This window comes from Homo sapiens, chromosome 3, assembly GCF_000001405.40.
Source record: "Homo sapiens chromosome 3, GRCh38.p14 Primary Assembly".
Classification (NCBI taxonomy): domain Eukaryota; kingdom Metazoa; phylum Chordata; class Mammalia; order Primates; family Hominidae; genus Homo; species Homo sapiens.
Genome location: NC_000003.12, coordinates 58,407,569 through 58,419,709, shown reverse-complemented (window position 1 = coordinate 58,419,709; position 12,141 = coordinate 58,407,569). Strand labels below are relative to the sequence as shown.

General features: G+C 45.6%; 1 protein-coding gene across 60 annotated transcripts in view; it reads right to left on the bottom strand.

The window, feature by feature from the left end:
- The window catches only part of PXK (PX domain containing serine/threonine kinase like), a 93,236-nt gene that overhangs the window by 6,418 nt on the left and 74,677 nt on the right, over positions 1-12,141 (bottom strand). For 30 of the 60 annotated variants that reach the window (NM_001349528.2, NM_001349529.2, NM_001349531.2 and 27 more), the window contains 4 exons: positions 10,709-10,786; positions 10,092-10,178; positions 9,551-9,620; positions 6,747-6,809 (listed from right to left, as the gene is read on the bottom strand). In NM_001349528.2, the coding sequence (NP_001336457.1) occupies positions 6,747-6,809; positions 9,551-9,620; positions 10,092-10,178; positions 10,709-10,786 (298 nt within the window). Of the gene's footprint in view, positions 1-6,746; positions 6,810-8,047; positions 8,086-9,550; positions 9,621-10,091; positions 10,179-10,708; positions 10,787-12,141 lie in introns of all 60 variants that reach the window. The other 30 variants (NM_001349530.2, NM_001349521.2, NM_001349506.2 and 27 more) reach the window with 3 other exon arrangements.

Genomic DNA, 12,141 nt, shown 5'->3' with positions numbered 1-12,141 from the left:
ATTGTTCCCCAAGGCTAGCCAGAGAAACTTGAATCCCTCCTTCTCCAAGGTGGGTCACAGAAACAGAACCCCTTTTCCCCAAAGCAAGCCATCATACCTAAAAATATTACTCTCCCTCCACCTTTCTGTGTAAAAACTGTCCATAAAGAAATAACTTGGCTGGGTGTGGTGGCTCACGCCTGTAATCCCAGCACTTTGGGAGGCCAAGGCGGGCGGATCACCTGAGGCCAGAAGTTCGAGACCAGCCTGGCCAACATGGCGAAACCCTGTGTCTACTAAAACTACAAAAAAGTAGCTGGGCATGGTGGTGGGCGCCTGTAATCCCAGCTACCTGGGAGGCTGAGGCAGGAGAATTACTTGAACCCAGGAGGCAGAGGCTGCAGTGAGCCAAGATCGAGCCATTGCACTCCAGCCAGGGCAACAAGAGTGAAACTCCATCTCAAAAAAGAAAAGAAATCACCTGACCTACCTTGTCTGACTATAGGTTGTAAGACCCCCATTCCAGAGAGAGTCCTGCCCATACCCAGAAGGAAGGAATGCTGCTCAGAGAGGCTGAGAAGAATCTAGACAGACAGACTTGCTGGGTTTCCCCACTCAGCCTATTAGCATTAGATCATAGCCTTTTCTTCCAATCATATTTCCACACAGCTGTCCATACTTTGTTGAACCTAAGCATAAAAATGGACAATTTTCCCTGTACCTTTGGGTCTTCATTCTGAAGGCTCCTGTGTATACATATTAAATAAACTTGTATGCCTTTTCTCTTATTAAATAAACTTGTATGCCTTTTCTCTTATTCATCTGTTTTGCGAGTTGAATTTTAAGCAGACCTTCAGAGGGCGGGCTCCCACACCTCTTCCTCTGCAGATTTGAAACTTCCCTTTCTCTCCACTCATTCTTGCAAACTGGGTTTTCTACAAACTGCCAGCTCTCTCACCTCAAAATTATTGGTTAAAACATAAACTACAAGCAAGAACAGCTAGAATTATCTGATTGCAAGACATTCGTAGTTTATACCTGATAGTGCTTTACCGCTTATAAAGCCTCGCCATGTATGCCATCTATCTAATAAAGAGCGAGACGTCTTTTAAAAGCCTCAAAGAACAGAAATTATTTGTCCAAGGTCATAGCGGGAATGTGGCAGAGCTAGGACTCAAGCCCTGGTTTACTGACTCAACATTCAGGGTTCTTTTCACACCAGCCAACAACAGTATTTAAGAGCACGGGCCCTGCAGCGCACCCTGAAGAAAGCAGGCACTCAATACATCAATGGGGTAAATGAACAAATACAGAACAAGTTACACTCCTGGCTCTAGCACCGCCCTAACTTGTGTGACCTCGGTCAAAGTCTCTTAATCCTACTAGAGTGTCAGTTTCAACTGTAAAATGGACCTAAGCTGGAGTCCACTCACACTGGATAAGAAGGTATTCACGATGATTAACTGAAACAAGTGACCATAAAGCAACAGTGCCTGGCACAAAATAAGTGCTTCAAATATATTACATATAATTATTTTAAATAACAATTTAGGGTCCTCTGCTTACTCAGCTTTCCCAAAATACTCTTACAAACCCATTTTTTAAAAAAAGGGCTGGGTGTGGGTGGCTCATGCCTGTAATCCCACTGTTATGGGAGGCTAAGGCGGGCAGATCACTTGAGCCCCAGAGCTCAAGACTAGACTGGGCAACATGGCAAAACCCGTCTCTACAAAAAAATATAAAAATTAGCCAAGGGTGGTGGTGCACACCTGTAGTCCCACTCAGGAGGCTGAGGTGGGAGGTTAAGGCTGCAGTGAGCCGTGATTGCACCACTGCATTCCAGCCAAGGTGACAGAGAGAGACCCTGTCTCAAAAAAACAGATAGCAAGGCAACAGGCCTGTCTAATCCCAAAGGAGGGTGGGAGGGAATATTTGTGTGTGTGTAAATTGGGACCTTTAAAACCAATCAGTTCTATGAATAGAGTATAAATACTAGTTGGTGATACTACCATGAAATAAACCAGGATAAAGAATTTTAAAGTCCTGGAAAAAGTGACCTTCCTGAGGCAGAAAACAACCTTTTGCAGAAAAGACAGTGCTAGGAATGTTCTTACTGAAAAAACAGGGGTCTCAGCAAAAGAGTATTAGAGAATCCCACCCCACCCAATGGAACTGCCAGCAGACTTAAAGAAAGGATATTTCTCCCATCAGCTTGGTAAGGACCTCAAGAAGGAGCCCCCAGAGAAGAAGCTACAGTAAGAAAAGGGAGGGGCCCCAACCCTTACATAGTTGCTAGAAAGGGCTCATAAGGGTAAGACCCCTTCACTTAGAAACTGAGATTAAAACCACCTTTAGCTGCCATAAATGTGCTTACAACCGATGCTTTCGGAAAGAAAGGCACTGCTGCTGAATTCAACTTACCTAAGCTCATCTATTGCTGCTGATCTATTGCTGAGCAAACTGCCAAAGGCCAGAGTTCACAGTGGATTTAGGATTTAGAGTGTGCTTGATTAGAAAGAACTGTGAGGCCAGGTGCTGTGGCTCCCATCTATAATCCCAGCAATTTGGAGGCTGAGGTGAGAGGAGTGCTTGTGCCCAGGAGTTTGATACCAACCTGGGCAACATGATGAGACCCCTGTCTCTACAAAAAATTTAAAAATTAGCTGGATGTGGTGGTGCACGCCTATAGTCCCAGCCTCTCAGAAGGCTGAGGCAGGAGGATCACTTGAGCCCAGGAGAAGACCGACCTCCAGTTCTGCAAGGAAGAACAGCCTAAGCATGGGCTGGCCAGCCAAAAGTTGCAATCCTGGCCGGGCACAGTGGCTCAAGCCTGTAATCCCAGCACTTTGGGGGCCGAGGCGGGTGGATCACTTTGAGGTCAGGAGTTCAAGACCAGCCTGGCCAACGTAGTGAAACCCCATCTCTATCAAAAATACAAAAATATTAGCCAAGCGTGGTGGTGAGTGCCTATAATCCCAGCTACTTGGGAGGCTGAGGCATAAAAATCGCTTGAACCCAGGAGGCGGAAGTTGCAGTGAGCCGAGATCTCACGACTGTATTCCAGCCTGGGTGACAGACCCAGACTCTGTCTCAAAAACAAAAATGGTGTAATCCCTAGGCTCAGAGTCCTCCTGCTCTCACTCTGCAGAGGCCTTGAAGGCAGAGCAAGCCTATGTAAATCAAAGATTTGCCAAGCATCTCCTACACACGCCCCATACCCTAGAAGAAGGAAAGCTGTACAGAGAGGCCAAGCAGAATCTGAACAAACAGGCCTTGCTGGGGTTAGATCATACCCTTTTTGTCCAATCACAATGAGATAGAAACTGGGACCGCCCCCAACTTTTAGGGACCTGTAAACCTCAAGGCATGGAAATAAGGGAAAATCCAAATGTTCCTTTAAGAAAAATTCCAGGCATCCAGCTAGCCCTAGAAGTAATTAAGTAACTTGGTAAACAAGAAGGTAATAAGTGGCTTAAGAACAATAGCCAAGGAAGTTAAAGCTCCAGAGAAGTTCCCTTGCCCTATAGAAACTAAAGATAAGATCTTAACATATGTCCCTGAGTTGTCTTTCAAAGGCTCAGGCCTCCACTGAAGACCCTCACCACAAAGATCCCAGATTAGGAGGAAAAGAAGACTAAACTGTACCTATTATCAATCCCACCGTCCTTTGTTCTAAGTTTCTTCTTGAGAGGCTTGGAGAAAGTCACTCCCCCTAGCAAGTTAGCATTTTTCTACTGACCCCAAAATTCTTAGAGCTTCTGCAACTAAGATCAACTGCAAGTCAGATCTCTGAATCTACCTGTGAGCACCCCCTACCCCCAAGATGTCCCGCCCTTTTAAGCTTAAACCAATGTGCAACCTCGGTGTACTGATTTATAATTTTGCCTGTAGCTTCTGTTTTCCTGAAATTTACCCCACCGTTAAAAATCCTTGCCTGTAAGCCATCTGGAAGGTCAGATTTTTGAGCATTTTGCTGCCTGGTCCTCCTTGCACAGCACTCTGCAATAAATGCCTTCCTTTCTGTCACTGCAACAGCCTTGGTGTGGGTATCTGATTTTATTGCACTGGGTGAGCAGACCAAAATTGGGTTCTATAACAACATTTCTATATGGTTGTCAATCATGCCTATCCAATGACGTCTCCATAAAAGGCCCAAGAGGGCAGGGTTTGGAGAGCTTCCTGATAGCTGAACATGCGGAGGTTCCTGAAGGGTGATGTGCCCAGGGAAGGCATGGAAGCTCCTTCCCCCACACCTTGCCCTATGCATCTTTTCATCTGTATCCTTTGTAACATCCTTTATAATAAACCAGTAAACATGTTTCCCTGAATTCTGTGAGCTGCTCCAGCAAATTAACGGTGGGAACTCCTACTTGAAGCTGGCCGGTCAAAAGTTCTGGAGTCCCATCCTTGCAAATGGTGTCAGAAAGAGCAGGTAGTTTTGGGGACTGAGCCCCAACCTGTGGGGTCTGACGCTATCTCCAGGTAGATAGTGTCAGAATTGAATTGGAGGACACCCAGCTGGTGTCCATAGCAAAACTGATTGCTTACTTGGTGGTGGACAGAACCACTCCCCCACACCCTGACATTTGGTCACAGAAGTCTGTCTGTGTTGATTATTATTGTGTTGAGTGACAGAATAGGGAAAAATACTTTTGAGTGTGAGTTTTTCCTAAACAGTGTCTATCATTTTGGAGCTTCTGAGAGGCACTGGAAATGTGACTCCATGAGAGCTAGGGCCTTGTCTAGCCATTTCTGTAACCCAGGGCCAAGCACAGTCCTTAGCAAACCATAGGTTCTCAGTAAATGCACCTTGAATGTTTATTCTTAAATGAATAAACTCCCTTGGGTTGAAATGCTTAGGGCCTGAAATGCTAGGTTGCCAGGCAAATGCTAAATATTAGTTACCATTTTCATGAGATGCATTACAGGAAATGCCCAGCAGAGGTCAGATTGCAGGCTGAGTCAATTTCATCAACAAAACATTAAGGAGATAAAAGAAAGGAGGAGCCAATATTTGCTGGGAACCTCTCATCTCTGCCAGGCACTCTCACTCTGCCAGGCATTGTGCTGGGGCCTCACATGTGCTTTCCTTCTAAATCCTCAAGACTCCCCTTCAGGCTGGGTGCTATCAAATTCACAGGAATGCCCCTCCCACTCACCTCCAAGTTTTCCCAACATTGACTCTAATTATACAAGATTCCTCTTTTTTTCTCTCATTCTAAAAGTTACCTTATCTCACGCAAACTTACTACTGTATGAGACAGCACCCATTTAAACACAGATAAATTAGAGAATTCCCCCCAAAAGTCCAAATAAATTGTAAATTCCCAAAGGCATTTAGAGATAAGAACCGGCAGTCAAGTGAGCAGGGGCAGATCTAACCACACAGACAGGGGCTGTGAACCCTTAAACAGACGCCTCAAGTGCCTTGCTTGTTAAAGGAGGATTTCTGGATTCTCACTACTAATTTTCTCCAATTTTCTTAATATGCCCAAGTGGTGTTAAATTAATATCCTATCTTCTAGAAAATGGCTTAATATAGTCCGGGCAGTAGATCACCAGACATTTCTGATCAGCCTAAACAGTGTATCTCCATAAAAGACAAAAAAGGCCTATTTTCTGTCTTGATCAACATTTGGGGGCTTTCTTGGGAAATCTGCTGACAAAGATAAGGACAAGAATATCCTCCCATGGACCAGGTACTTTGCTACCCAAAACAGGCCCTAGAACATTCAGCAGTAAGGCACCAGTAGCCACCCTCAGCCAGAAGTAAGTCATTCACACTAGTCCCCTTGCTCTCATTTTCTTAGGAGGGTCAGTTAGAAGCATTTGAGTGGAGCTGAAGAATGCTCTTGGCAGCTCCTGGGTGCTGTGTTAGTTATTAATAATGAATATGGGATCAACTCATATACCAACTCCCTGCCAATGATTCTCCCTTCACACAGCTTGTAGGAACCCTTCCAGGCACAGCCAGCAAGCTCTGAGTGGCAGAAGCAGCTCCTCGCACATCTGGAACAACTGGTTCATTTAAGAAGCAAAAGGAGATACTGGTGTCCCAATTGTTTTTATTGGGCTTGCAAAAGACTTTAGGAGAGACATCTTGGTTCAAAAATAAAAGATAGTATTATGGGGCTACTCAACAAAATTGGGGATTATTTTTATAAGCAGTCTCCAAGATAAATTCTTTTTACATTTTTCAATCAAAACTAGTATCTAATTTACAAAAGTGAAGCAAAGGCTAATAACAGAAAAATATTCAGATAATTAAATACATTACAGAGCAAAACAGAGTCAAATCGTTGCCAGAAAATCAGAAACGCAGTGACTCTTTCACTCCTCCACCTAGGCATCTTACCAGTTGTGCTCTGTGACAAAACTGACCCTATGGACGGGCTCCCTGAGGAGAGAGGCCTGGCAGGACGGGACCCCTGGGCCACGGCGCATTTGTGTTGTTCAGCTAAGCATGTACCAAGACAGGCTCCAATCTGAGAAGCTCTGCATGAAGCTTTTCAGCAAAGACAGCAAGCTGGAGCCCGGGGGTGGCTAGTGGCCCTGAAACCGGTCCATTCCCTGTGAAAGCCGAGCTTGGAAATCTAGCCCCTCAGCTCTCCCAAATGACACTGCTAATTTGCACTCCCACTGATTTCTCTTGAGAAAGCTGCTGCTATCTAACCCCTGAAATTGTTGGGCCAAGGCAGGAAGAGGCACAGCCCGCTCCTCCTGTTGGCGGACAGGAAGGTGGCATGTCACTTTACTCCATCACTAACCTGATGTAGAGGGTGGAGTTGGCGATGACGGGGACGTGAGAGGTGAGCTGGCCCCAGATCCTGCTAAGATAAAACACAGAGAAACCCTCATGGGGACCAACGAAAGACATTTGGAATTTGGCCCAGGCTGGGACCCACTGCTGTCTGAGAATCTACATTTGGCTTAGTGTGTGAGCCTTGTGAAACAAGATGATGAGGGACAAAAAACTCAGAGACCGGACCCAGTGACAGGCTTTTACTCTGGTGCAGGGTCCACCTCCTTCCCCAAGCCACTAAAAGCTCCTTGCCTCCCACTGCTCCCCATGGCCTGCCTGGTTTGAAACTTTGCACCATCAACAGCTTAGGCAATTGGCTGCAGTATCTCTTCCTGACGCAACCTCCACTCCTGGGTAATGACAAATGACAGAAGCCACAAGTGGTACAGCAGACAGAGAGGTGCAGAGCAGCCTGCTGGGGGCTTCCAAAGGAAGGGAGTGCCCCGTACAGCATCCACCCAGTAACGCATTCTGCCGAAGTTCCATTTTATCAGCAGGTAGAATCAACTAGATAGGGTCAGTCTATTCAGTTTATGGATTTCACAGCCCTTTTCTTATCTAGAATAAGTAAATGTCCTTATTCACATTAAAACAATGTGAATCCCACCTGTTGCATGCTTTTTCTGGATCTAGTAACCTTATTATATTTCAAATATTCCCAAGTTCTCAGCATCTCCCCATTACTTGGCGATCCCTAGAAAATATCTTCCTGAGCTGACATGAAGTAGCCCAATGAGCAGAGGTTCCTACGTAAGCCTTTCTGTGGACACAGAAACCCCCCTCCCACACATAGAGATCCTATGGAGAGGTTAACCAAATCTCCCTAGTCAGGTGCTTTCTGGGCTGATGGGCACACACACCCAGAGGGCTGCCATCACACGCCTGAGAAGCCACCAGAGCTGGTGTGGTTAAGGCCCCAGCCATCACTTCCCTCACTACCCACAGGACATGTTGGTGTCTCATGGACACTGGCCATGATGAGAAATGTCCTGATTAAACCACACCTCCCTCCAGTTTAATGCTTTTCTACTTGCAATATTCCCTCAGTTCCCTATAAAATATGAGGGTGTTTTACTGAAAAAGGAGGTAAAACTCAATGCATGCTGTCTTTATACTGTTCGTAGTGCTAATGAACTTTAATGGGGAGAAGCTTCACTGCTTGACTCCAGTAAAGTTTGGGAATTATCTGTATATATCCATCAACTGCTACTTCATTTTCCTAAACTCCTGAGGGCACTGGGGTATCCTGAAGTCCTTGAGTCCTACCTGGCTTCATGTGACACAGCTTTGCAGGCAGGCAGGGTCTTAGAAGGTAGAGAGCACACTGTCAGGCTTTCTCTGCTCTATAAAAAATTAGCTACTGGACAGAATGACTGCTGGTTGGAATCATGAGTCTCAGTATAATAATGACCATGACCGGTCCATGTCCCTCCCATCAACCATGGCGAAGATAGGCTTCCAACTGAAACTACCCACCAGCCACAACAGCATTCACCCCCAAGGAGCCTGCGCTGGTCCTCATTGGGACCACCCCTCCTTCCTCTCCTTTGCAGCTCTTCCTGAGCCCTTCTCCAGTCTGGACTCTGCAGTGGTGTCAATGTGACTCTCACTCTCCTTCTGGAGTTTATGGGCTTTCTCTATTCAGGGCTGCCAATCTCCAGCTCTGGTCATGCCACTTGCATTCTCCAGCTGTGGCTCATGCAGCCCTCTGGGCTGCAGCCTAATCATCTTGTACACTTTTCTCCTCCCGCCCCAGGCAGACATTCTCCTCCCTGACTTCACTGAGAAGACTGAGGCATGACCTGTGAATATCCCCAATTTCCTCCCTTCTAAACATCTCTGCCTCTTCACCTGCCCACACCAAATCCTACCGCTAGGAAGAGATGCATGGGTTTCCTCAAAGTTGAGACTGATAGCTGGGCTTTGGATGCTAACCCCTTGGCTTTCTACCCGCCATGGTGCCCCTGCCAGTTACCGTCTCTTTTGCATCTTCAAATTCCCCCTCTCTGCTCTGTCCTTCCTCTGCCTAAAAGTATAAGCAGGTATTCCTCAACCCCAAAATCTCCCATTCCCGTGGCCCTTCAGGGCTAAGTCAAAACTGCTTGGTAACTAGGGTGAAACCTTCCCTTCTCTATGTGGGCTCTACTTCACAGATTCATAAATTAGAAAAACTGGAAGGCCCCCAGGGATCATTCAATCTGGCTCTGATTTCCAAAGATGGGACATTATGGCCCAAAGCCAGCAGAGCTGGGTGAAGGGCAGCTGGGAGTGGCAGCAAGGACTGCCAACTCAGGACAGTGCTCTTTGTACCATCTCGGTTTCTTGCCATCCCCACACACCATCGAGTCCTTTCCTTAATTCACACAGGAGAGCACATCCTCCCATCACATGGGGTCCAGAGCAGTGGGCAGGATTTAAGGTCATTTCTGTTCATGCAGGCTCTACTAAAAAACAGGAGGCCTTACATTTTAAGTCAGGTCTGTTTTCCTTCCATGACTAATGCTCCTGTGTCTTTAGATGATCAAGTGCTGCCATCAGTGAAGAAGGTGAGCTACCCAATTACCTCAGAAGTCCCTTCTAGCATTTGAGTGCTGTAAGCCTACGAATACTGTTGCAATCTTTCATTAGAGACGGAGTTATTTTGTTCTCTGTAGTCATTACTACATTGCCCAGTTTCTGGCCAGCAGAACTCAAGACCTCTTGACCAACTAGAGACTCCTGATCCTGATCTCTGTGTCCTGGGCCCCACTACCATCTATAACCAGTTACCTGAATTATTGGAGTTGCTGTACTTCGCTGAATGCTCTTCACTATTTTCAAGAGCAGATCGTTTTGACTTCTTTAAGAATAAAAGAAAAGGGGGAGGGAGGGAGAGGAAAGCAAAGAATAAACACAGTGAAGCTGGGAGTTAGAATAAAAATATTTTCCAGGCATACCATTAAACTAGCTGCAGACAAGGTAATATTCAGCCCCATAACTTAACACAGTGAAGAAGTCACAGCCAAAACTAAAGGCAGAAATAAAACAAAAAATGCTGACTTTACTATCTCAGGCCAATCGTTTCCTCCAATTACATTACGCCATAATCTGCCCAGCAAGCTAGGAAACTACATGGGCTATTTCTCGGCTGATTATCATATGACTCTTTTTTTTTCCCCAAAAAAACTGCACCCCAGTCATCTGGAAATAGTCTTAGCTTTCAAGGAGATATAGCACAGCATCTGTCATTAAATGGGCACCATTAACCTAGAACTTTCTTCACATGTACTCAAGAACTCATAGAGGGACTGCAGAGAGACAGCAGGCTTACCTTTCGAGCTAAAATCTTTCTTTTTTTTCTTTCCTCCTCAGATCCATGGTGGGACTGAGCTCTTGTCAGTCTTCGATGCTGGTGAATCTTTAAAAGACCATAAGATGTAAGCATATCCCACATAAGGCAGCTTCCTAATGAAAATCTTCTCCAACATGTTTTGGCAAACCACATTTTATTGGGATAAAAGAAAATCTTTCCTTGCTCAGGCTGTCTACTTCCTGGCTCGGGTCTGGATGCCAGGTAGAGGAGTATGCCAAAGGAAGAGGTCCTTTCTCATGCCCCTAATGCCTTCCTGCCTTTCCCTCTTTTACAGAAGAAGAATGTGGTGAGACAGCATGGACCATGCATGCCCGCAACTATCACCGGCCGGCATGCTCTGATCAGAAACCCAGACTGCCCTTCCTGGACATGTTTGTTTCCCACATAGACTAGGCAGGACTGAGGGCAGGACTGTCAAGTATTCAGCTCTGCAGGGAAGCATTTAGCCTAAAGGCTGGCTGAGAGTAAGTATGCTTAAAATATTTGCAGAGGGAACAGTCAAAGGTCAATCACTATAAAAACCACGGCAGAGGATGGGGACACTAAAAGGCAAAGAGGAACCGTTATCAATTTACCTGTTTCTGTTCCTCAATTAGTCTCTTCTCTATACATTCTTTGGCAATTCTCAATGCCTCTTTTAACTTTGTAGGGATCTGAAAGGAGAGAAAAGTACATCATCTATTGAAAAAGGTGGCTGGAGATACTTCCAAGTCCTGGAGTAAATGAAGGAGCAGGTGGTTATCAAGAGTCATTTCGGCCGGGCGCGGTGGCTCATGCCTGTAATCCCAGGACTTTGAGAGGCCAAGGCGGGCGGATCACGCGGTCAGGAGATGGAGACCATCCTGGCTAACACGGTGAAATCCCATCTCTACTAAAAATACAAAAAATTAGCCGGGCGTGGTGGTGGGCGCCTGTAGTCCCAGCTACTCAGGAGGCTGAGGCAGGAGAATGGCGTGAACCCGGGAGGCGGAGCTTGCAGAGAGCCGAGATCACGCCACTGCACTCCAGCCTGGGTGACAGAGCGAGACTCCATCTCAAAAAAAAAAAAAAAGAGTCATTTGGAATAAAATCAGTTAAAGCTGTCCATTCAAATCCTACCCCAGCCACTTTTGGTATCCCTAACACACTCACTTCTCTAGCATTTTTTAGCAATGAACACATAAAACTAAAACATAAATAAACATGATATGTTTCAAGTAATGCAAGTAATCCTCAAGGGCTGTAAATTGCCAAAACAATCTGAAAAAGAAAAATAAAGTTGAAGGCCTCACATTTCCTGATTTTGAAACCTATTACATAGCTACAGTAATTAAAACAGTGTGGTACTGACATGCAGGCAGATACACAGACCAATGGAAAAGAAGAAGAGAGAGCCCAGAAATAAATGCTTGTGGATATGGTCAAATAATCTTTGACAAGGGTTCCAAGAACATACAATGGGGGAAAGGACAGTGTATTCAATAACAGTGCTGGGAAAATTGGATATCCACATACAAAAGAGTGAAGTTGGACCCTTACCTTACACCATAAACAAAAATTAACTCAAAATGGATTCAAAACCTAAACATAAGACCTAAAACTATAAAACTCCTAAAAGAAAAGACACAGGGGAAAAGCTTCTTGACACTGGATTTGGCAGTGATTTCTTGGATATGACACCAAAAGCACAGGCAATAAAAGAAAAAAAATTAAACTTCATCAAAATTTAAAACTTTGGTGCAGCCGGGCAAGGTGGCTCACGCCTGTAATCCCAATACTTTGGGAGGCTGAGGTGGGTGGATCACTTGAGGTCAGAAGTTCAAGACCAGCCTGGCCAACATGGCAAAACCCCGTCTCTACTAAAGATACAAAAATTAGCCAGGTGTGGTGGTGCACGCCTGTAATCTACTTGGGAGGCTGAGGCAGGAAGATCACTTGAACCTGGGAGGGCGGAGGTTGCAGTGAGCTGAGATTGTGCTGCTGCACTCCAGCCTAAGCAACAGAACGAGCCCCTGTCTCCAAAAGAAAA